This window comes from Homo sapiens, chromosome 9, assembly GCF_000001405.40.
Source record: "Homo sapiens chromosome 9, GRCh38.p14 Primary Assembly".
In the NCBI taxonomy this organism is placed as follows: Eukaryota; Metazoa; Chordata; class Mammalia; order Primates; family Hominidae; genus Homo; species Homo sapiens.
The window spans coordinates 97,016,002-97,041,671 of NC_000009.12; the positions used below are offsets into that span (position 1 = coordinate 97,016,002).

The window sequence follows — 25,670 nt, forward strand, 5'->3', positions numbered from 1 at the left end:
TGTTTTCTTAAATAGACTTACAATAAAGTTATCCTAGAGGGAATAATGGAGTTTTTTGAAGTTTATTTTCTTTATCACAAAAGCCACTAAAGTTTGCTATAATACTAGCAGTGTATATTTTTAACTATGGAATAGGCTGTGATTCTACTGAGGCAAACTTATAAATTATACCAGATAAGTATACCATTATATCTTTGATGGTTGATATTGCCATATCAGCTATATCAGAGTAATATATTCTAATACAGTTCTTTTTCCTAAGAGGAGAAATTCAAACAATTTGCTGATCTTTTTGTTTTTTTTTTTGATACAGAGTCTTGCTCTGTCGCCTAGGCTGGAGTTCAGTGACGCGATCACAGCTCACTGCAGCCTTGACCTCCTGGGCTCAAGTGATCCTCCCACCTCAGCCTCCTGGGTAGCTGGGACCACAGGTGCATAAAACCATGCCTGGCTACCTTTTTAATTTTTGGTAGAGACAGTGTCTCACTGTGTTGCCCAGCCTGTTCTCCAACTCCTGGGCTCAAGCAATCTTCCTACCTCAGCCTCCTAAAGTACTGGAATTATAGGCATGAGCCACCGTGCCTAGCCTTGCTGATTTCTATTTAATACTTTTGTTGAGATTTTTCGCTTTAAATAAATTAATCATCTGGTCTTAAAGCTGGATTTTAAGATTGGGTTAAACATAATGCTAAAATAGGGTATCTAATAACTGAGAGTCTTTAATCCCCAAGACTATCCTCTGGTTTAATGATTCACTAGAAGAACCCCAAAAAGCTATTTTACTCATAGTTAGTTTATTATAGTGAAAGGATACAGATGAAAATAGCAAAGGTAAGAGGCAGCAGAGTCCACGAGAGACCACGCACAAGCTTCCAGTTGTCCTTTCTGAGTAGAGTCTATGGGCAGCACCTAATTCTCCCAGCAATGATATGGATCTGGGTGCTGTGCTCTCTCTCTCTCTACTTATGTGTGTGTTAACAATACATGTAGTTTCAGAATTTCTAACTCCGTGGAAGCAAGTTTTCCAACTATAGTGTTTATGTACGGTTCTTTTTGTTTTTATCCTGAAAGTAGCCAGTCAAAACAGTTTTCCAAATCAATTCAATTTCTTTCTTGTTTACTCAAATCAATTCTTTTTTGATTGAGTAATCAATCAAAATTTTATTTATTTATTTACTCAATTTATTTTTTCCCCACTCACTTTGGTGAGGTTATGCCATACCTTTGTAATATAATTAAGTTCATTTGTCATGCCGGCCATTCTATCCTAAGATCCCACATTAATTTGCATAAAGTTAACTCTCTGCAGTGTATTGTTCTGTGGATTTTGACAAATGGATGGGCCAGGTGCAGTGGCTCAGGCCTGTAATCCCAGCACTTTGGGAGGTCGAGGTGGGAGGATCACTTGAGACCAGGACTTCAAGAGAAATAGGTAGTTATGCATCTACTGCCACAAGACCCTAAATATTCCCTTGTGTGGTCAATTTGTAATCAACAGAAAGGGGTAAGTGGTATTGAATTCATCACTTTTTATATATAATTTGAATCTTTTTTAAAGTATGATGCAATTGGGTTGTTCAATAATGTCTGTGAGTCTCCTTGTACTGGCAGTTGTCTGCTGGGAAGGAAATCCAGAGCCCAGATCCAAGCCAAGGTGTATAAAGCAATACCTTCACATGGTATCTTTGTTGCTCTGTTTCTCCACCCATCTACTGTTCCCTGTGTGAAAGGATAACAAACTGTCCTACGATAATTGTCTAAATGTTTAAAACACACTTCACTTAATTTTGTTTGTTCCGAGCACTACTTTGTAACTGCAATTATAACAATGTGTTAAGATAAACTTATTTTCACAGATTTTTTTTTCTTTGAGACGCAATATCGCTCTCTCACCCAGGCTGGAGTGTGGGGTGCAGTGGTGCAATTTTGGCTCACTGCAACCTCTGCCTCCCAGGCTCAAGCGATTCTCCTGTCTCAGCTTCCCAAGTAGCTGGGATTACAGGTGCATACAACCACACCCAGATAATTTTTTTTTTTTTTTTTGAGATGGATTCTTGCTCTGTCGCCCAGACTGGAGCGCAGTGGTGCAATTTTGGCTCACTGCAACCTCCGCCTCCCGGGCTCAAGCGATTCTCCTGTCTCAGCCTCCCAAGTAGCTGGATCACAGGCACATACTACCACACCCAGATATTTTTTTTGTTTTTTCAGACGGTGTCTCGCTCTGTCACTCTAGAGTATAGTGGCACAATCTCAGCTCACTGCAACCTCCGCCTCCCAGGTTCAAGCAATTCTCATGCCTCAGCCTCCTGAGTAGCTGGGATCACAGGTGCCCACCACCACGCCCTGCTAACTTTTGTATTTTTAGTAGAGATGGGGTTTCACCATGTTGGCCAGGCTGGTCTCGAACTCCTGAACTCAGGTGATCTGCTCGCCTTGGCCTCCCAAAGTGGTGGGATTACAAGGGTAAGCCACTGCGACTGGCAACAGATTTTAGTTTAAGATAATGTTCTAATCAAAACTTGTTTTCAGTATTTGCAATGCATTATCAGTCCTATTTGAGAGTATTCAGTTAGGTTGGTGCTTTTTTTTCTCTTTTTTTTTCTTTTTTTTTTTAATGGAGAACTATCCTTACTGAACCTCCTCAATTATTTGCCTTCAGCACTAAGCTAAAAGGCAGATGTGAATTGCCATCTGGAAAAAAAGTATATTTGGTAATTATACATACCAAGGTGATTCAGAGTCAAATGGACCGGGCAAATGTTTTATACAAAGGGTGGAATTTTAGTTAGAATGGCGATCATTAAAAAGTCAGGAAACAACAGGTGCTGGAGAGGATGTGGAGAAATAGGAACGCTTTTACACTGTTGGTAGTGTAAACTAGTTCAACCATTGTAGAAGACAGTGTGGCAATTCCTCGAGGATCTAGAACTAGAAATACCATTTGGCCCAATGATCCCATTACTGGGTATATACTCAAAGGATTATAAATCATGCTACTATAAAGACACATGCACACATATGTTTATTGTGGCACTATTCACAATAGCAAAAACTTGGAACCAACCCAAATGTCCATCAATGATATACTGGATTAAGAGAATGTGGCACATATACACCATGGAATATTATGCAGCCATAAAAAAGGATGAGTTCATGTCCTTTGTAGGGACATGGATGAAGCTGGAAACCATCATTCTGAGCAGACTATCACAAGGACAGAAAACCTTGACACAGGGCAGGAAACATCACACATGGGGGCCTGTTGTGGGTTGGGGGGCAGGGGGAGGGATAGCATTAGGAGAAATACCTGATGTACATGATGAGTTAATGGGTGCAGCAAACCAACATGGCACATGTATACCTATGTAACAAACCTGCACGCTGTGCTCATGTACCCTAGAACTTAAAGTATAATAATAATAATAAAAAGGTAGAATTTTACGTGACCCAGGCAAAGGGTTTATTCTACAATGTGTGTGAACCATGTAAAAAGTAGGAACGTAAGGACTTTTTTCCTTGCCCTACTTCCGTTTCACATGCTAGAAATATATACAGCCTGCTGCCTGCTGTCCCTGTAGTCTTCGCAACAGAAGTGATACCATCTCTATGCCAGAAGCAGGAATTGCTAATGTAGGTCAGCCCCTCTTTTTCCTTGTCACCCTCGCATAGTCAATGATCAAATCTTGCTTATGCCCTTTCTCACCTCCTATCTCTTTCACCACTCCATCAAAGCAACTGTTGTGCCCTATTTATTTTATATGTCAGATTGTTCTGTGCCTGCTTACTGCCTTAGTTCATACCCTTCCCATTTCTCAGCAGTTTGCTGTACATCTTTGGGTTCACTTCCACTTATGCATGTACTCTTCACACAAAATTAGTCTTTCTCACCAAAAGCAATTGTAACAAAAGCAAAAATTGACAAATGGGATCTAATTAAATGTAGGAGCTTCTACATAGTTAAGAAACTGTCAACAGAGTAAACAGCCTACAAAATGGGAGAAAGTTTTTGCAAACTATGCATCTGACAAAAGTCTCACATCCAGGCTCTATTAATATAAGGAACTTAAACAAATCAACAAGAAAAAAAAGCCAACCCCATTAAAAAGTAGGCAAAGGACATGAGCAGACACTTTTCAAAAGAAAACATACATGTGGCCAATGAACATATGAAAAAAAGCTCAATATCACTTATCATTAGAGAAATGCAAATCAAAACCACAATGAGATACCATCTCACACCAGTCAGGATGGCTATTATTAAAAAGTCAAAAAATAACAGATTCTGACAAGGTTGCAGAGAGAAGGGAATGCTTTTACACTGTTGGCGGGAGTGTAAATTAGTGCAAACCATTGTGGAAAGCACTGTGACGATTACTCGAAGAGCTAAAAACAGAACTATCATTCAACGTAGCAGTCCCATCTCTGAGTATATTACCCAGAGGAATATAAATCATTCTATCATACAGACACATGCATGTGAATGTTCACTGCAGCACTAGTCACAATAGCAAAGACATGGAATCAACCTAAATGCCCATCAATGACAGATTGGATAAAGAAAATGTGGTACATACATGCCATGGAATAGTATGCAGCCATAGAAAAGAATGAGATGATATATTTTGCTGGATCACTCATGGAGCTGAAGGCTATTATCCTTAGCAAACTAGCACAGGAACAGAAAACCAAATACCACATGTTCTCACTTATAGGTGGGAGCTAATTGATAAGAACTCAATGACACAAATAGGCGAACAACAGACAGTGGGGACTACTTGAGGGTGGAGGGTGGGAGGAGGGAGAGGATTCAAAAAAATAACTATTGGGTACTAGGCTTAGTACCTGGGCGACAAAATAATCTGTACAACAAACCCCCATGACACTAGGTTACCTATATAACAAACCTGCACATGTACCCCTGAACCTAAAAGTTTGGGGAAAAAAATGTTCTTTCTAAAATACAAATCTATCTTACTACATCACGTTCTTGCTAAAAATTCTTCAAGATATCCCGTTTTCATGAAGGAAAAGGCTCTGGTGCGTTAGCATGACATGAATGCCTCAGGCTCTGGCCTCTCCCCACCTGTCAGCCTTATCTCCTGGCATTTTTCTACACCCATATCATTGGGCTCCCATCATCTGTCAGGCTCCCTCAGTCTGAAATAGCCTCTTTCTCCTTCTCCTCCAGCCATTTATCTAATTCCTGTTTATAGGTATTCTAATTCCTGTTAAGACTCAGCTCAGGTATGGTCTCCACCAGGTTTTCCCCAAGTTTCCTTTCCATATTGCAAAACCTTTCCTTGCACCTTCTGTACACTTTGTTTAGATTTCTGTCAACATATAGTTCTCTGAATGTTTAAAAAAAAAAACAAAAAACAAGCAAAAAACAAAAAAACACATAATCTTGCCGGGCACAGTGGCTCACGCCTGTAATCCCAGTACTTTGGGAGGCCAAGGCGGGTGGATCACTTGAGGTCAGGGGTTCGAGACCAGCCTGGCCAAAATGGAGAAACCTCGTCTCTACTAAAATACAAAAATTAGCTGGGCCTGGTGGTGGGTGCCTGTAATCCCAGCTACTCAGGAGGCTGAGGCAGGAGAATTGCTCGAACCCGGGAGGCAGAGGTTGCATGAGCCAAGATTGCGCCATTGCACTCCAGCCAGGCGACAGAGCAAGACTCCGTCTCAAAAAACAAAAACAAACAAACAAACAAAAAACATAATCTTATCCAAAGAGATAGTGAGCACATGCCAACATTTTATTTATCTCGGTAATAAGGGAACCCATAAAGTCGGTTCAAAAGAGAATTTGAAAGACGAGGATTATTACAGTCAATGTGAACAAAATGGAAGGATGAATTAATATTGGCACATTAGATGCAGCCCTAGTTAATGTCCTATTGGGCAATTAAACTGTAGCAGTTGGGGTGATCTCATTTTTCCACCATGGAAAAGAAAACCAACTCATCAGTTTCTTAGGAGATAATTTCTAACTTTACAGGGCTGTAAAATATCTGAGCCTATCAGTAATAATGTCAAAAATAAATAGTCAAAACCCTTTGAGAGTCAGAAGACCCTTGGATGGGTTTGTCAGACAATCGTCTTATAGCATGACATTGATGGAAGTGGAATCTCTTTACTTTGTTTCCACGTTTTGAGTAATTTTGCCTAGCACTATCATTGTTTACCCTGATGCTGTACTTTTTAATTCACTCAATCCTGGCATATACTGTGAACTTGAGAGAACTTAAGCGTTGGTGTTCAAACTGGGGTATGTATACCCCTTGTAATATGGAAAGACTTTTCAGGGGTTACGTGGCCATGGATAGCTTTTAGATGACCAATTTCCAGGCCCTCGTCCTAGGTGTGTACTCTTTCCTACAGCTAACCTGCTCCCTGAAGTGTCTCTGTTTTGCAAGTTCCTCTTTTCTTCCCAGTCCAATCACCCTTCTGCCACTTCACCAAAGCCTCCCACCCATCCCAGCCTGCTCATGAGCACACCCTGAGACCTAAACACTCCCATTTTCCATTAAGCAAAAGAGCCAAATTGGCCTCAAAAGTCTGACAAAAATATACTGAAAGCCAGTCTACAATATCCTGGAAAATACATTCTTTATCACAAACTAATGATAAATGTAAATGTCAACTTAAAAGTGTAGGGGGGGGGACGTTAAACAGTTTATTAACATTTTTTTTTCCTTAGGAGACAGGGTCTCACTCTATCACCCAGGCTGGAGTACAGTGACATGATCATACTTCACTGCAGCCTCAAATTCCTGGGCTCAAGCAATCTTCCCAGCTCAGCCTCCAGAGTAACTGAGACTACAGGCGTGCACCACCATGCCCAGCTAGTTTGTTGTTGTTGTTGTTGTTGTCATTGTAGAGCCAAGGTTGGTTTCACTATGTTGCTCAGTCTGGTCTCAAACTCCTGGCCTCAAGGATTCTCCTGCCTTGGCCTCCCCAAGTGCTGGGGTTTAAGGGACGAGCCACCGCACCTGATCAACATTCTTTTAAGGATCGACAAGCACAACACTGAAGGCCACTGCATAGGAGGAAAATTCCGTACCTCCAAACTCCAGTGGAAGCCACAGCCGAGACCCTTGTCTTTTTGCTGTTGACTCGCTGAGCAATGTGGTACCTCATTTGGTTAGTTTACCTCTCCCTTCAGCCTGGTCAGCTGATCCTTTTCCACTGGTTTGATTTTAACACTTTGAGTGTTGGCTTAAACCATCCCTTTCTGTCTGTTCCCATTCCTCACTGCCTTTAGTTGGATGAGTGAGAAGGTCTTAGGGTTGATCCCATCCTGGTTCCCCTGTGGAGAGTGTTTGGGAAATGCCAGTGAATGTAGCCTGGATCACATTACTATAATTTTAAAGTTTCCTGGTCACTCTCCCTGTTACTTTTTACCCTGTGCACATTTTTTTGTTGTATTTATCACAATTATTTGTATACCAGACAGACTCTTTCTTTCTGGACGTTCATCTTTTTTACAAGCAATACTTTTTATTGTTCATCTGTTAACCAATAGTTGAACTGAAATAAATCCAACTGGCCCACTAGACTGCAAGCATCCCCAAGACAAGTGTGTGTTTTATTTGCAATTGTACATCCAGTGTCAACACAGAGAAAGAACAGTAACACATTTATTGAGACATGACAGGCCAATAGTAAGCCCTTTAATACAGAGTCATTGAGTCATTAGGGCAAACCATGGGCATTGCCTGCATTTTAAATGCAGGGAAATAGAATTAGAGAGATTAGTTATGGCATCTGAGATCATATAGCAGTAAGTGGTGCCAGGATTCAAGTTGGGGCAGAATGACCCTGGAGTTTTTGGCCTCAGGTCAATTCTGTCTCGCAAATTGGATTTCTTGAATTACAGGGGTAATGAACAAAACAGCCTTGTGTTACTTACTTGTATTCAATAGGCTTTCAGAGGACCAGGGCCCAGGTGATCTATTGAGACCCAGAATGGGAGGTGCATACCTCCCATCTAGGGGGTGGGGAACTCAGCAGCAACTAGGAAGCTGTGGGGGCACCTTGGCCTTGCACTCAGGGCTCAAAGGGCATGGAAGCATCACAGTGAAAGCCACCATCATGAGAGAGAGGCCCAAGAATACAGATGGACTTGCACTTGAGTCCACTGGGCTTGTCCTCGTGGACAAGACGAGGTGACACTCAGGTAGGGACTAAACACCGGTATGAGCAGATGTGGATGGTGAGGAGGTGCTCGGAGGTGTGAGGCTACAGCCTCACATTCATGTGGTAGACTGTTTCAGGCTGGGGAAGCTTGGGATACTCTGGCTTCACTACAGTTGTTCAAGAAATTATGGAAGTATTGCATTGTTCTCTTAGCATACAAACTTTGTTTTCTTTATTCTTATTATAAATCTTTTACAAAAAAGATAGTGCTAAATAAAATTGTCTTATCTCTTAGGACATGTTTGCTATCGAGTTTGTGAAGTTAATATCTTCATACTTGACTCATTAGCTTGAAGTCAAATTTCAATATTATTGTAATCTCTAACAATACTCCCATTATTTTCCAGTTCCTGTGTTTAGCCATGAAAACCAATGTCACTTCGACTGAGTTACTTCATTTCTATGAGCTCATCTATTAAATAAGGCAGTTGGACAAGCTGTTTTCTACTATGCTCTCATAATCTCAAAGACAGTGACTGAGAGCCTGACTCTTTAAATGCTCAAAGTGAATTACTATTGATTTTTGCCTTTAAGACATTACTTAATGTGGTTATGACTTGTTTGATGTTAGTGAGTCTTTGATTAGAGTCCATTTCCAAGGTTAGCTTTGTTTCCATAGAAATGCAACTGCTATGCCATGACCTGAGTTAAAACCAATGGCCAAACTGTACCCTGTATGGAAGATTGGGGTTTCTTATCATCCAACTTAAGAACCACTGACCCTAGTGAAGTCCATGAAACAGAGAAGATAAACTCAGAGGAAAATACAATGTAAACTGCCAAACCAGACTGATGTACAGTCCATCAATTGATGAAGACACTTCAACCAAATAGATGTCTTGAAAAATTATAGATGATAAAGTATCGAATGGCCAGATAAATTGACAGGGATTTTATTGATTTTACAAAGGATGACATAGTTTCACTGACACTGCACTATAAGAAATATAATAGCAAAAAGATATTGCCTCCCACCTCCCCCAACCCCCGAGAACTTTCGGTAACGGAATTTCAAACTAAACATTTCCTTTTCATCTTTTCTCTTCTCTTTTCTTTCTTTTTGAAACAGAGTCTCACCCTGTCTCCTGGGCTGGAATGCAGTGGCGTGATCTTGGGTCACTGCAACCTCTGCCTCCCAGATTCAAGTGATTCTGCTGCCTCAGCCTCCCAAGTAGCTAGGACTACATGTGTACGCCACCACACCGGGCTAATTTTTGTATTTTTAGTAGAGACGGGGTTTCACCATGTTGGCCAGGCTGGTCTCGAACTCCTAACCTAAGGTGATCCACCTGCCTTGGCCTCCCAAAGTGCTGGGATTACAGGAGTGAGCCACTGTACCCAGCCAGACTAAACTTTTCTAAATGTCATGTGGAGGATGAAATTATTTGTATAAATGTTTTCGTAAGTATATTATAAAGAATTTCAACACCTAGTAATCCACCACTAAAAACATTAATTTTTGAAAATCATTGTGATATTTGGTACCATTACATAATGGAAAATAAGGTAAACGTGCAGACTGTATACAGTCCAATTCAATTACCAAATATGAGCAAAACCTATTAGATCAATTTCTGGCTTTTTTTGAAGAAACCGAATCAAGTTTATTCAATAGCACCCCATGGTCTCAATGTAACAGGAAAGGAAAGAGGATGCTAAAACCCACCTCCTTTGATAACCTCCAATTAGATGACCAACTGGCCTGATTTGCCTGGGAGTAAGGGTTATCAGGATGTCGGACATTTAGTGTTAAAACCAGGGCAGTCCGGGGCCTACTGGGACAGCTTGTCCTCTTCATCCCTCCAGGTCTTTTTAAAATATGTGGAATATCCACATTTCTTTATCCTGGGACCTTTCTGTTTGCATGTAGGCTCTCCAGGAAGTCACAAAGCTGCACAACGGTGGGGCTGAGGAAATTAGCCAAGGAATCAGCCACGTCTCCGGGGCATCCGCCTCTTGTATTAGAGGTGTCTTCAGCTCTATCTTTGCGTGTCCAGGCTGCCACCAGGTAGCTAACACAGAACTGTCCTGGGCAACTTTTGTCTTTGGTACTCTGTGCTTTCCCTGTTGACATCCTCAGCTGCCACCTCCACAGGCCTCACATTGTATTCCCTGTGGCTCATGCCCGTGAACACTCTCTACAGGGACTTGCTTTCAGCACACTGTTAACTAATTGACAAAAATGCTAGCTATTGAAGCTCGAAGTGTGACCTCTTCCAGAAGTGCTGAGGTCTTAAAAGGTCATTCTCAGAGCTCAAAAATCTTTCAAAGACACAAAGCTAGACAGTAAAAATTGTTAGCTCTGTGAAAACCAAAGTGCAAAGCACTTAATAGCAATAGTTGTTTCTTACTGAGTACCATGTGTCGGGCACCATGCTAAATATTTCACAAACATTAATTCATACATACTACAGCAGCCCTGTGTGGTAGATACTGAATCAAGCCCATTTCACAGGTAGAGATGCTGAGGCTGAGCTTGGTAATATGCCCTGCCCCATATCACAGAGCCAGAAAGATCAGAGCCTGATTTGAACCCGACTCCATGCTTATACACCTCAAAAGTCAGGCTCTTTTTTCCCCCACCATGAATACGTTATTTTTTTCTGATATCATACACATACATACACACACATACACCACCCAAGTAGCTAGGACTGTAACTATACCCAGGTAATTTTTTTTTTTCCCAGAGACAGGGTCTCGCTATGTTGCCCAGGTTGGTCTTGAACTCCTGGGCTCAAGCAATCTTCCAGCCTCAGCCTCCCAGAATCCTGGGATTACAGGTCTGAGCCACTATGCTGGGCCTCACATGTTAGGTGTTTTTTGTTTTTTTGTTTTTTGTTTTGAGACGGACTTTTGCTCTTATTGCCAGGCTGGAGTATAGTGGTGCAATCTCGGCTCACTGCAACCTCCGCCTCCTGGGTTCAAGTGTTTCTCCTGCCTCAGCCTCCCAAGTAGCTGGGATTACAGGCACCCGCCACCATGCCCAGCCAATTTTTTGTATATTTAGTAGGGATGGGTTTTCACCATGTTGGCCAGGCTTGTCTCGAACTCCTGACCTCAGGTGATCCACCCCTCGGCCTCCCAAAGTGCTGGGCTTACAGGCGTGAGCCACCACACCCAGCCACATGTTAGGTTTTAATGAGGTCTCTTAGTTTGCAGCTAGGATCAAGTCCTCTCTCTTACCTCTCACTGATTCAGCCACATACAATTATTTTGATCACCTGCTATGCACCTATGGTGTTCTTGGCACTAGGAATCCTGCTGTGAGTGAAGCTGAGCTCCTGCCTTTGCATCTGTGAGTCCTTACAGTTCAAACTGTGTGGGATGCAACCAACCTCGGGTAGAAATTTTTTCTTTTTTTTTTGGAGACGGAATCTCGCTCTGTCGCCCATGTTGGAGTGCAGTGGCGCGATCTCAGGTCACTGCAAGCTCCACCTCCCGGGTTCACACCATTCTCCTGCCTCAGCTTCCCGAGTAGCTGGGACTACAGGTGCCCACCACCACACCCGGCTAATTTTTTGTATTTTTAGTAGAGATGGGGTTTCACTGTGCGAGCCAGAATGGTCTCAATCTCTGACCTCATGATCTGCCCGCCTTGGCCTCCCAAAGTGCTGGGATTACAGGCGTGAGCCACTGCGCACAGCCCAATTTTTTTTTTTTTTTTTTAAAAGGATAGTCTGTGCTGAACATGTACAGACTTCTTTATCTTGTCATTATTCCCTAAAAAAAAAAAATACAGTATAACAACTACTTACATAACATTTACAATGTTGCTAGGTATCATAAGGAATCTAAAGTATAAGGGAGGATGTATGTAAGTTATATGTAAATACTACACCATTTTATATGAGGAACTTGAGCATCTGTGGATTTTGGTATCTGCAGGGGGTTGTGGAACCAATCCCCCATGGATATCAAGGGATGACTGTATGTGTGATGGGGCATGAGGAGGCCCTGAAGGCACAGGTAAGTTACAGGAAGAAGTGGTCCCAACACTGACAGTCCTAACTCCTGCTACATCATGTTTTCTTTCCCAGCCCACACCTATGTCCTCAGAGTTCCCTATCATCAACTGGGTGAGGAAGAGAAAACTTGGGCCTGATTTATAGATGGTTCTGTACAATATCCAGGCACCAACCAATGGATGCTGCGGGATTACAGCACGTTTCTGAGACATCCTTCAAGAACAGAGGTGAAGGGAAACAAAACTTTCAGCAGTGTACTTGGTTGTTCATTTTGCTTGGAAGAAGAAATAGCCAGGCGTATGATTATATACCATTCTATGGGCTACGGTTAATGATTTGGCTGGGTGACCACAGACTTGTAATGAACATGATTGGCAAATTGGTGATAAAGGGGTCTGGGGAACGCCTATCTGAACAGATATCTCTGAATGGGTAAAAAAAAAAAACAAAAAACAAGTGAAGATATTTGTATCCCATGTGAATTCTCACAAAAGGGTGACCTCAGCAGAGGAGGATTTTAATAACTGAGTGAATAGGATGACCTTTCTCTGGATACCAGTCAGCCTCTTTCCCCAGCCACCCTGGGGTTCACGAACGAAGTGGCCATGGTGGCAAGAATAGAGGTTATGCATGGGCTCAGCAACATAAGGATGTAAGCAAGGGAGGGAGTGTGACTATTTGCTTCACTCGTGTCCCCAGAGCCTAGCACAGTGCTATTGCATAGGAGCCCAATAAATAGTAGATCCTTGAACAACATGGGTTTGAACTGACGGTCCACTTACTTATACACAGATTTTCTTCCGCCTTTGCAACCCAAGACAGCAACTCCAACCCTGCTTCTTACTCCTCCTCCTCAGCCTATTCAATGTGAAGACAACAGCGATAAAGACCTTTATGATGATCTACTTTCACTTAGTAAATATAATTTATCTTCCTTGTGATTGCCTTTTTTTTTTTTTTGAGACGGAGTCTCGCTCTGTTGCCCAGGCTGGAGTGCAGTGGCGCGATCTTGGCTCACCGCAAGCTCCGCCTCCCGGGTTCACGCCATTCTCCCGCCTCAGTCTCCTGAGTAGCTGCGAATACAGGTGTCGGCCACAACGCCCGGCTAATTTTGTTTTTGTATTTTTATTAGAGATGGGGTTTCACCATGTTAGGCAGGATGGTCTTGATCTCATGACCTCGTGATCTGCCTGCCTCGGCCTCTCAAAGCACTGGGATTACAAGTGTGAGCCACCGTGCCTGGCCATGATTTTCTTAATGACATTTTTTCCTCTAGCTTACTGTAAGCATACAGTATTTTACAATACATACACAAAATATGTGTTAATTGGCTGTTTATGTTATCAGCAAGGCTTCCAGTCAACAGTAGGCTATTAGTAGAAAAGTTCTGGAGGAATTAAAGTTATATGCAAATATTTGGCTGCACAAGGGTTGGTGCCCCTAACCTCTGCATTGTTCAAGAATCAACTGTATCCAAATGAATAAATACACTGCAGAACAAGAACACGTTGCAGCTTAGTAATAGTTTTACTTATTAACTTACTTAAAAAGAGATAATGAACATTTGTGAAATTGTTTACAATTGAGATATCCATACACACAAGTCATGTGCTGTGTGATGTTTTGGTCAGTGACTGCATATATGATAGTGGTCCCATAAAATTATGATCCTATATTTTTACTGTACTTTTCTGTTCAGATACACGAATACTTACCACTGTGTTACAACTGTGTACAGTACTCAGCACAGTGATGTGTTGCACAGGTGCGTAGCTTAGGAGCAACAGGCTGTACCATATAGCCTAGGTGTGTAATAGGCTATACCATCTAGGTTTGTGTCAGTGTACTCTATGATGTTCACGTCACGATGAAATCACCCAAGACACATTTCTCAGAATGTATCCCCATCATTAAGCAACACATGACTGTATATATACATTTACTAATGTTTGTTATTTTTAATACAGAAAAGTTTCTTCTTTGCTTTTTAGAAATTTTATCAGTTACAAAAGGAAATAACATTTAGAAAACAGTTTCAACTTTCATAGGCAAAACATACACATGAACCACACATAGGGCTGAGTGGATGTTTCCTTATTGCTAAGTCCATAGCCTCTAGTATGATGCCCAAGTGTCATAACTACACTCCCACATCAGCAAACTCCTCCCTCTTAATATGCTCAGTGATTTCTATCTCACCCTTCCTTACTTCCTTTGCAATTCAAGTAAGAAAACAAACAATTTAGATGTTCGAGTATAGGAAATATTTGCCGAGACCAGCTTGGTCATGGAGACCCTAACCCAGAGGCGCTAGAGAAATTAAAGACACACACCCAGAAATATAGCATGCAGAGTGGGAAATCAGGGGACTCACAGCTTTCAGAGCTGAGAGCCCCGAACAGAGATTTACCCATGTTTATTGACAGCAAGCCAGTGATAAACATTGTTTCTATAGATTATAGATTAACTAAAAGTATTCCTTCCCAAACGAAACAAAGGCATGGGGTCTGGCTAGTTATCTGCAGCAGGAACATGTCCTTAAGGCACAGATCGCTCATGCTATTGTTTGTAGTTTAGGAACGCCTTTAAGCCGTTTTCCCGCCCTGGGTGGTCCAGGTGTTCCTTGCTCTCATTCCGGTAAACCTTCAGCATGGCGTCATGGCCATCATGAACCTGTCACAGTACTGCAGAGATTTTGTTTATGGCCAGATTTGGGGGCATATCCCCAGCAAATATTGGTTAAGTCTGTGCTTCAGACTAGATTTTTCAAGTCTACTGGCTTGTTTGAAAAACGCTTTTAGACAACACATCAGGTTTGTAACTTTTCACAAGTTTAAAATATTTCAAAGGTCTTTGAAAATTATAAAATCTTGAAATATCTCTATTTTAGTTTTCCGAGGGGTGCTGTTTTGACAGATTTGAAATTTTTTTATTTGAATAAAAAGCCATCACTCTTTCATTCAATTTAGTGCCTAGATGTTTCCTTAGAGCCTGGGTTGTTGTTCCAAGAATCTGTGGAGAGTACCAACTTAGCCTGCTGCTGCAAAGACGAAGGAATCCTTTCTCAGAGAAAACTCAAGACTGAATATGGTAGACTGGATTTTCCAGAGATGGCTGTGGACATAGGCTATCAAAGGGTTTTTGGGATACACAGTCCCACATGCCCCTTCCCTCCCATTGCATTCACAATGGATCACCTTTCGATTAAATTTCACCAGCTCATCCCCGGTAATTTTTTATTTGACTGGAAACATGGGCTTTTAAAACACACACAGGGCTCTCCTTTAGCCTGCAGAATGTGGGTATATCTTTACTATTTTCTCCTGCTCATAAAAATACATGCTTTTCACTAAACGAGTTAAATAACCACCCATAATTCACCCACAAGTTTGGTGTACTTTCTTCCAGTATTTTAAATATGCAAAAATATCGTTTTATTTGTATTTACTACCTGTGTAACTATATGCTTAGCCTTTTTCCCCCCATTTTGAGTTTATTTTTAATTCAGGGATTAGGTAGCCAGAGTCTGGCCTAGTGACTTCTGACCTTTCACTTGTGATCTCTTATCCATCTTCGGCCAGAGGCCTCTTTTTGTAGCCCAGCCTCATCTCTTGTGGACCTTGAACAAATTTCTCCAGCTACTGTCAAATGCCTGAGATTTGTTAACCACACCATTTATTTTTGCTAACACTAGTTAACAAATAAGCTTTTCTAGAAGAGCTAGGTGGAATATGTCATCAGAGACTTGGAATGAAAACAAAATACCCTTGGTAACTTACTTGCACCTGCGTCTTCCTCAGACTGCAAAGTGGTCACCAGCAATTCAGAGAGGCTCCAGTAACAAGCAGCTTCACTTTTTATCACGTAACCTAACCATCTTGAGGTTATGTGTCAAAGGAAGAAGACATTTCCTTTTCTAAAAAGTCAACTGCTTTCTTCTTTACTAAAACAATTTAGGGGCTGGGCGCAGTGGCTCACATCTGTAATCCCAACACTTTGGGAGGCTGAGGCAGGTGGATCACGAGGTCGAGAGTTCAAGACCAGCCTGGCCAAGATGGTGAAACCCTCTCTCTACTAAAAATACACTAGGCGTGGTGGCACGCGCCTGTAATCCCAGCTACTCGGGAGGCTGAGGCAGAGAATTGCTTAAACCCGGGAGGCAGAGGTTGCAGTGAGCTGAGATCACACTACTGCACTCCAGCCTTGGTGACAGAGTGAGAGAGACTCCGTCTCATAAAAAAAAAAAATGTAGGTTTGTCCTTCCAAATTGTTTATCAAATTTTGGTAGATTCAGGAGTTGGGTAACACACAGTAACTGGGCAGCTGATATAAAGTCTGTATTTTTATAACTACTCAAGAGCCAGGAAGCCAGCTTTCTGCTAGCATCTTTCTCCTAACATACCATTGGCACATGAAGTTATTATTTCAGAGCTTAATTATATTTCCTGACTACACAAAAAGCCAATGCATTAAAAAAAGGCCCACCTTTATATACGAATTAAAATTTATTTCAAACTGTTTTGTACATCTTTTTAAAAAATGAAAATTCAAAAGTCTTAGAATTAAGCAATGAGTCTTTGATATCATAAAGCTGTGTATAACAATAATTAAAGTAGTGGTAACATTTTACCCTTGTAAAAATGTCACAGAATTAAAATCTCAACTTGGATCCTCAATGATTCAACTGGTTTATCTTACACAATAAGCGTTTGGTCAGTTTCAAGATAAAATTTCCCCAGACATGCTGTCCTTAAGTCCTTCCTCCTCACCATCCATCAGCTCACACATTGGGGTAGCTGGCTGCTGTGGCGATTCCACAGTGGTTGTTCTTGTCTTTGGCTATTTTTACATAGCCATTCGAGCCCCATTCTGGACCCCAGCTGAAAGAGGAGCAGGTTTTCCATTTTATACAAGGAATCAAGGGAAAATTGGCTCCATTAATAATAATAGCTAATACTTAAACAGTGCTTCCCATGTGTCAGGCACTATTCTAAATGCTGTTAATATCCATTTATAAATGTCCTGAGGCTGGGCACAGTGGCTCACGCCTGCAATCCCAGCACTTTGGGAGGCCGAGGTGGGCAGATCACTTGAGGTCAGGAGTTTGAGACCAGCTTGGCCAATCTGGTGAAACCTCGTCTCTATTAAAAATACAAAAATTGGCCAGGTGCGGTGCATGCCTGTAATCCCAGCACTTTGGGAGGCTGAGGCGGGTGGATCACCTGAGGTTTCAGGAGTTTGAGACCAGCTTGACCAACATGGTGAAACCCTGCCTCTACTAAATTAAAAAAAAAAAAAAAAAAAATTAACCGGGCATGTAATCCCAGCTACTTGGGAGGCTGAGGCAGGAGAATCATCATTTGAACCCAGGAGGCAGAGGTTCCAGTGAGCCAAGATTGCACCACTGCACTTCAGCCTGGGCAAGAAGAGCAAAACTCCATCTCAAAAGAAAAAAACAAACAAAAAAACCCCCATAAAAATTGGCCAGGCGTGGTGGCGCATGCCTATAGTCCCAGCTACTTGGGAGGCTGAGGCAGGAGAATCACTTGAACCCGAGAGGTGGAGGCTGCAGTGAGCCGAGATTGCACCACTGCACTCTTGCCTGAGTGACAGAGCAAGACTCCATCTCAGAATAAAATAAAACTGGCTGGGCACGGTGGCTCATGTCTGTAATACCAGTGCTTTGGGAGGCCAAGGCAGGCGGATCACATGAGGTCAGTTCGACAGCAGCCTGGCATACATGGTGAAACCCCGTCTCTACTAAAAAATACAAAAAAAATTAGCTGGGTATGGTAGCACATCCCTGTAGTCCCAGCTACTTGGGAGGCTGAGGCAGGAGAATCACTTGAACTCAGGAGGCAGAGGTTGCAGTGAGCTGAGATCGTGCCACTGCACTCCAGCCTGGGTGACAGAGCGACACTCTGTCTCAAAAAATAAATAAACAAATGAATGAATGAATATATTGATTCTTGTGGGTCCTTAACTATTTAAGATACTGAGGCAGAACTGGAATTCCACTGTAGCAGTCTGTCCCCACATACTACCTTATGTCACATCTCAATTAAAGAATGCTAATTGTGAGAAAATAGATTCTGACAACCTTCAAAGCCTGAGAGCTGGGGAGTGAAATTCGATGACAGGGCATCCAATGACAATAGAAGGATGCACACAGACCACTGGACTCCCGGATGATCTCTCAGACTTAACAAAGAACCAGCAGAGGCAGATGTTTCTGCTTACTATTCCTTGTTGAAAAATTAGACAGAAAAAAGCAATCAGCTCTCAAACCTACAGGTCCACAGTCCTTTGTCTGAAACCCTTGAGGACTAATGTGTTTCAGAATTTAAAAATTTTCAAAACTTAGTAATAAAATATTACAAATACATAGCAATAACTCCAAAAAGCTTGGTACGGAATCTTATAATCAAACATTAATATTTCTGTGTTCACTCTAAGTAGAAGAAAGACTTTCGGAATTTTGAAATTGAGCTTTTGTGAACTTGTATCCAAATACTGATTTGGAACAAAAATTCCCTTTTCAATTTTGAGTTTTATACCTGTTTTTGACGAGCCAATACTTGCTGTTATTCGAATTTGCTCCTTCAAAGCCGTAGCCAACCACCAGAACACCATGATCCAGGTTTTTGCTGCTGCAGTCTGGTTCAAAATAAATGCCTGGGAGAGTAAAATTAATGCTGGGGTGAGAAGCTCCAAGCGACATGTGACAGTAACCCACCCTACCACCCTCCATAAGGGAGGCATCTCTAAATTCAGTAAAATGTCATAAACAAATGCCAAATAAGGACCCAAACAATATTGGCCGGAAAACAGTAATGGCTGATAAAGGAAAAAAGTCAACCTCAACTCACTAGAAATCAACTAACTTCAACTAAGTTCAAGATATTTTCTACCAAAAAAAATGAAAATCCAAAAGATAAAACCTATTGTTTACAGCTAAGGTGATTTAGATATCTCTGAGCCCAAATACCAACTCGCATAATCCCTTTCTGTTCCTAGGATGTCAGTCTAAAATAGCACCAAAATAAACAAACAAAAACTTGAAGGGGATTCTTTACAGTCCTAATTACAGTAGTAAAAAACTTTGAGAAAAAAAGGCCCAACAACTGGAAAATAGTTTGGAAAATTAGGTTGTCTCTATACAATTACATAGCCATTTAAAAATATTTATGAGAAGTTTAACATAACTAAGTATTTTCTCATGTCAAATGCAAACATCACTATGTTAAATGCTCACTCTCAAAATACTACATTCCTGCAAAGCAGGATGTCATATCCAAGAATCAATCACAGTGATGCTTCCCAATTCTGCCTAAATTTCTATAATAAAATGACACTTACCTGATTTGTAGAACTGGAAGGACGAATGGCCTGCATCCATAGCAACGGAGATGGGCCCCACAGTTGCGACTGCTTTCATCAGGGCCTTCTCCTTTCCAGGTGCGACCACTGTGAAGCCAGTGTCATTAGCAACAGAATTCTCAGGTCTGTACTTACAGATTTCATCCTTTTAAAGTTAAAGGGGGAGAGACTTGATCACTACCATCTACCTCCTGGGGAACATTAGTTCTAGAACCGAAACACTCAGCAATTTGCAACCTAGGATTTCCAAATCAACACCCTTATAAATCGTCCCATGAAATAAAATGCTATTTGTTGATTTGAAAATGAAAAATTAGTTGACATTTCTTCAATGAGAACCCCTAGGTCAATCTGTCCATAAAAAATTTTTCACAATGGATAAAGTTCTATTATATGTAGAATGGTTTGCTTATTCTCCATGTTATGTAAAAGCAAGAACAGCTGTGTGTTAACCATCTAATGGTACTTATATGGTAACCATTAGCTGTTGACCATCTCACCAGAGAACTGTGCAAAGGCTAATAATTTTTTTTTTTTTTTGAGATGGAGTCTCGCTCTGCGGCCCAGGCTGGAGTGTAGTGGTGCGATCTTGGCTCACTGCAAGCTCCGCCTCCCGGGTTCACGTCATTCTCCTGCCTCAGTCTCCTGAGTAGCTGGGACTACGGGCACCCGCCACCAGGCCGGGCTAATTTTTTTGTATTTTTAGTAGAGACGGGGTTTCACTGTGTTAGCCAGGATTGTCTTGATCTCCTGACCTCGTGATCCGCCTGTCTCGGCCTCCCAAACTGCTGGGATTACAGGTGATCCACCACGCCTGGCCAAAGGCTAATAATTTATAATGACAATACTCACGGTTTGCAGATGTAGATTCTACCATATAAAATGTGAATTCTGAAAAAAGTATCTGTTATCTCTGAAAGTGTTCCACTTTCCAAAAGCAGAGCACGAATGACAAGATAAGGAGCTCCATTTACCACTGCTACATATGGATAGGATTCCTCAGAGTCCAGGCCTCCGTTCTCCTTGACATACTGGAAGGCCCTAGCCATGAAGCCACCATTGCAGCCCTGATTGCCTTGAGGACGCGAACAGTCCACCAGATTCTGCTCGCTCAGTGAGACAAGTTTCCCAGTTTTCCGGAACATCTGTCCTTCAAGAGCACCAGTCGCACTAAAAGCCCAACAAGAACCACACTGTTTCTAAAAAGGGAGAAAAAAAAAGCTGTAAATTTACAAGACCAATACAAATACAGTACCCCATAATTGAATTACCTTAATATTCTTTAAAAAAAAAAAAAACCCATCGCCACACTTTGGGAGGCCGAGGCGGGCAGATCACTTGAGGAGAGGAGTTTGAAATCCGCCTGGCCAACATGGTGAAACCCTGTCGCTACTAAAAATACACAAAAATTAGCTGGGCATGGTGGTGAGCACTTGCAATCCCAGCTACTCGGGAGGTGGAGGCAGGAGAATCTCTTGAACCCAGGAGGCAGAGGTTGCAGTGAGACGAGATCACGCCATTGCAATCCAGCCTGGGCAACAAGAGCTAAACTCCGTCTCAAACAAGCAAACAAAAAAAACACCAAAAACCAAAAATACAAAAAACCCATCACCATATGTTGTGCCACCATCTACCACAGCAATGACACCAATTCCTTCTTGGCTTTCCTGTGGAGACAGGGTCTGAATCTGACGCTGTCTCACCTGATTCTTCACTGGCGTCACGTAGCCTTTCTTTCTCCAATCCACAGATTTGGGAAGATCAAGAAACAGAGGCTCACGGAACACTTTCCCCTTCCTGAATTTCTGGTTTCGAAAGCAACCCATCATCTGCCTGAATTCTTCATTGGTCTTCAAGGAGAAGTAAATAAAATGTTAAAAGCAAGACTATTTTGGTGAAGAACTGAGAAGCAGCACAGAGTTCAGCAATCCTTGCCACACTCACCATGTCACCAAAAGCATTCATGGCCATTGTGAAGCCATGTTTCCCTTGGCTGTATTCCCCATTGTGCAGTTCAATCATTTTCATATTCTTTTCCCACACTGCTCTCCTCCATCCTTCTTCATTCTAGAGGCAAACATATAGCTGGTGGACTTTATGTCTACTTACCCAACCCATGTTCACCAAGCCGATTTGCGGGCAGAAATGGAAGAGAAACCATGGCCAGGGATGGGTTGATACTTCTCTGGGAGCTGTTCTCCAAGCCAAGACACAATGGAGATATATGCCCATATTGCACCTATAATGGGTGCTGTTAGGTTATTGCCTGGTAAGGTCTGGTGTCTAGAAGCTACTCTCTGGCTATCAACTCCCAACAGCGAGGACCATTCTCTCCAGAGTCCCTCTGGACAGTTTCAGATGTTACCAACCGCGCCATATAATCTTCTGTGTGTTGCCTTCCACTGGTACCACTTTGTATCCAAATTTTGGTCAAATTTTGGAACAGCGGAGGCTATTCCCAAGCAAAAGGCAGCCAGGACGAGCGAAAGATTCATGTTTCAAAACCTAGAAAGAGAAAAGAAATGAGTATCTGATTAGACCAATCCTAAAAAGCCATCTTACAGCCCCCGTGGAATAGAAATATTTCAATTATTCTCCCTAGCATTTCCCCAAGGACTGTGGAAGAGGCTGAAACAGGCCAAGTGGAGGTATTTGATGGGCCCACCAAAATTAAAAGCAGCCTGCAGAGTTGGAGGCGTTGAAACAGCATATGCGATAATTTAGGGTATGAGAAGGGTGTGAAAGATACCTGACGGGTGAGAAGCTTAAGGCAACAACTAGAAAACTAGGAAAGAGTTGGTCCAGGTTTTGCACCAATTGTACTGAGGTCATCCAGGCAAAACCTCACTAATGAAGACGTACCATCCCAAGTAGATGCAAGCGGATCCCCAAGGAACACCACCTCACACCTTCTTGGCTGATACACAGCAGGAGATGAGCTATGTCTTCCAACCTCTCCTTTTGGAATAAAACCTTTCGGGAATCCCTTTCCAGGAGACACTGGGAAGGAGAGCACCCACTATTCCCGCCGTCCCACACTTGGGTCTGTGCTACTCGCTCCCCTAAACCGGGGCAGGGTCACAAGGCCGCGCCGCTGGAAGCCAGGGGCCCCAGGGCCAGGGCCCGGACCGAGGCAGGCAGCTCCCGGAGCTCCGGGCGGGCCAGGACCGGGGCCGCACCGCCTGCTCTCGCCCTCTGCACGCGCCGCCGCGCCCCGAGAATGTTTGCGGCGGTGCAGGGAGCGGGGGCTCCGCGGCCAGGCTGGGGGCATGAAGCCGCCCGGTCCGGTCCGGCTTCAGCCCACAGGATGACTGACCTGCCCCGCCCGGGCCCTCCCAGTGGTGCCGGCGCCTCCCTGGGGTCTCCAACCGCCCTCCCCCGTTCCCCACCTCGAGGCTGGCAGAGCTCCGGGCAGAAGCTCTCACTCCCAGAAGCGCCCGCCTCCTCTCAGTGTCCCTAAAGGGGGGTTCCCTCCTCCAGTCCCCCTTCGCCCTGTCCCTCGGTCTGGTCGGGGGCGCTCACCAGCAGCCGTCGCAGCTGCGCAGGCACCCTCAGCAAACAAGCCTCTGAGATTACAGACGTCCGCGGTCTGGTGCAGGTTCGCCCGCCTCGGGATTTAAGTTTCCAGGCGGCCTTCCCCGCCCCCACCGCCTTCCCGCGCTGCGATTGGCTGTGCCGGCCACTGGGCGGGGCCCCGGGCGCTTAGAGCCCGCGCGTGACGCAGCCCAGTCCCAACCCGTCTCAGGTCTGGGCGCGCCTACCTCAATACACCCTGGCTGCGGGAAGCTGGGCCGGGCGCCCGGGGGCTGCGCGGAGGAGGGGGAGGCGCCTCCCTCAAGGGCTCAGATCTACTGACTATCCCGACTTACTGCGCTGAGCGGGTGGTTTACAGCGAGCTCTGTGTGGTATTTCAGTCCCTACTTTAACTTAGTCCTAGAGTTTTTGGTGAAAATCTGCAGGGCCGGGAGCCAGGGTACTCTCGTTCAGTGGCTCCTGTTTAGTCCACGGCAAAGGTGGGACGGAGTGGAAGAACGCACAGCCCCCAGCAGAAGCATTACCTTCCACTTAAGGGTGGGTGCATCAGGGCTTTAGAAGAATCTGGTAAGGAAAGGCACTCCCAAAACACGGGATGGATGGTCGAGACCGGACACCAGGAGGGACGGGACTAGCTGATAGGGTGTCCAGAGACCGCGGAGCGTTTTGTGGTGCGTCCTTCCCAGTCTGTTGCATTCAGGAATTCTTCCTTCTCCCATGTCTTTCAATACCAAAAAAAAAAAAAAAAAAAAAAAAAAGAGTTACAGAAATATTTGGTTAATAAAAAAGAGAAAAGCGTTGAGAATGGTGAAATAAATTGCTTTAAAAATTTTTCTTTTGTAGAAATGGAGTTTGGCTAAGTTTCCTTAGGCTGCTCTTGAATTCCTGGCCTCAAGCGATCCTCCCCTCTCAGCCTCCCAAAAGTGGTGGGATTACAGGCGTGAGCCACTACGCCCAGTCTGAGAGTGGTGGAAATTGCTTTTACTTACCTACTCTCTGCTTATGGGTTACAACGTCTCTTCCTCAGTATTCAAAGTGTGCTTCTTTTGAGATTTAATAAATTTACTTTAAAAATGTTTAATACCGGCCGGGCGCGGTGGCTTACACCTGTAATCCCAGCACTTTGGGAGGCCGAGGCGGGCGGATCACGAGGTCATGATATCGAGACCATCCTGGCCAACATGGTGAAACCCTGTCTCTACTAAAAATGCAAAAATTAGCTGGGCGTGGTGGCGGGCGCCTGTAGTCCCAGCTACTCAGGAGGCTGAGGCAGGAGAATTGCTTGAACCCGAGAGGCGGAGGTTGCAGTGAGCTGAGATCGTGCCACTGCACTCCAGACTGGTGACAGAGCGAAACTCTGTCTCAAAAAATAAAAATAAAAATAAAAATATATAATATCAGGGTTGAGGTGATGCAGTTTGAGGAACTGCTCTTTATGGAGAAATATATGTAGCTAAAGATTTAAGGAAATCATTAATAATTCAGAAACGTTTCTAATTCTTTTTAAAGTTATATAAAAAAATCCATTATAAAAAATATGTTTTAGAAAATAAACGTCCCTTGTGCCCTCTCCATAACCCTTTTCTAGGCATATCTTTTTTTGTTTTTACAAAAATGAAGTTATAATGCATATTGATTAATAAACTCTTAAAGATTAAATTGAATAATATCCACAGTTTTTACTTGTTAATTTGAAAATTTGTGAAATCAAGTTTAGCCTAAAGCTGCCTCCCCATGTGATTTAAGTTTGGCCTAAAGGTTTCTCTGTACATAGCGAATTGTAATCTAAATGGAGGTGTAAACAGACTGTAGCCTGCTCTTGTGCCTATCCCCGAATTTCTGTAAATCAAAGAGGTTCAGTTGTTCAAACCATGTTCAAATAAGGCAAACATGGAGCTGTATCCAATCCTGCAGTTTCTGTGCCTCACTTGCCCTTTTCTGTCTATAAATCTTCCCCCATGTGGCTGCACTGGAGTCTCTCTGAGCCTACTCTGGCACTGGAGGCTGCCAGATTCACGAATTGTTTTTTGCTCAATTAAATTCTCTTAAATTTAATTTGGCTATGGATTTTCTTTTAACAAATTAAAAACAATTAAACTGACAACTTTTCAGAAGCACCATCAGGCAAATACATCTTTTTAAAAATCAATTTATTAATAATTATATGTCCTTCCTTTAAATAAATAGCAGCTTTTCCCTCTCAAATACAACTAGGGGCCAAAGCTGTCAGGTGGTTATATAAAAAATACAAAAGTATATTGTATTGCAGGCCAAGGTAGGTGGATCTCCTGAGCCTGGGAGTTTGAGACCAGCCTGGGCAACATGGCGAAATCACACCTCTACCAAAAATACAAAACAAACAAACAAAAATTAGCCAGGCATGGTGATGCATGCCTGTAGTCCCAACTACTTGGGAGACTGAGGTTGTAGTGAGCGGAGCAGAGCATGCGCCACTGCACTCCAACCTGGGTGACAGAGCGAGATGCCGTCCCAAAAAAAAAAAAAAAAAAAAAAAAGCATCTTGTACTTGTACTGCAAATTTGCCGTCTCAAAAAAAAAAAAAAAGCATCTTGTACTGCAAATAGCTGT

General features: G+C 42.9%; 1 protein-coding gene across 2 annotated transcripts, besides 1 other annotated feature; it reads right to left on the reverse strand.

The window, feature by feature from the left end:
- Positions 1-13,675: 13,675 nt before the first annotated feature.
- On the reverse strand, positions 13,676-23,642 carry CTSV (cathepsin V). 2 transcript variants are annotated; one of them, NM_001201575.2, is made up of 8 exons: positions 23,606-23,642; positions 21,917-22,052; positions 21,492-21,614; positions 21,251-21,397; positions 20,522-20,746; positions 19,527-19,692; positions 18,725-18,842; positions 13,676-17,047 (listed from the first exon to the last, which is right to left on the reverse strand). In NM_001201575.2, the coding sequence occupies exons 2-8, from the start codon at positions 22,040-22,042 to the stop codon at positions 16,948-16,950; spliced, it is 1,005 nt and encodes a 334-aa protein (NP_001188504.1). In that variant the 5' UTR covers positions 22,043-22,052; positions 23,606-23,642; the 3' UTR covers positions 13,676-16,947. The 2 variants fall into 2 exon arrangements, with proteins under 2 accessions (NP_001188504.1, NP_001324.2); NM_001333.4 differs by lacking the exon at positions 23,606-23,642 and adding an exon at positions 23,070-23,141.
- Positions 23,176-23,485: a silencer, noted in NCBI's record as "silent region_20097". NCBI's record gives its function as "represses an Ori minimal core promoter by ATAC-STARR-seq in GM12878 lymphoblastoid cells {active_cell/tissue: GM12878}" and the evidence as "EXISTENCE:reporter gene assay evidence [ECO:0000049][PMID:35858748]".
- Positions 23,643-25,670: the final 2,028 nt, after the last annotated feature.

Bases quoted from the DNA above. Each gene is read 5' to 3' on its own strand.
- CTSV (NM_001201575.2), bottom strand. From the start codon at position 22,042: ATGAATCTTTCGCTCGTCCTGGCTGCCTTTTGCTTGGGAATAGCCTCC. The intron at 19,693-20,521 runs GTAAATGGAGCT...TAACTTTAAAAG, and splicing joins CCTATCCATATGTAGCAGTG to GATGAAATCTGTAAGTACAG. The intron at 17,048-18,724 runs GTATAAAACTCA...CTCCTCTTTCAG, and splicing joins TATTGGCTCGTCAAAAACAG to CTGGGGTCCAGAATGGGGCT.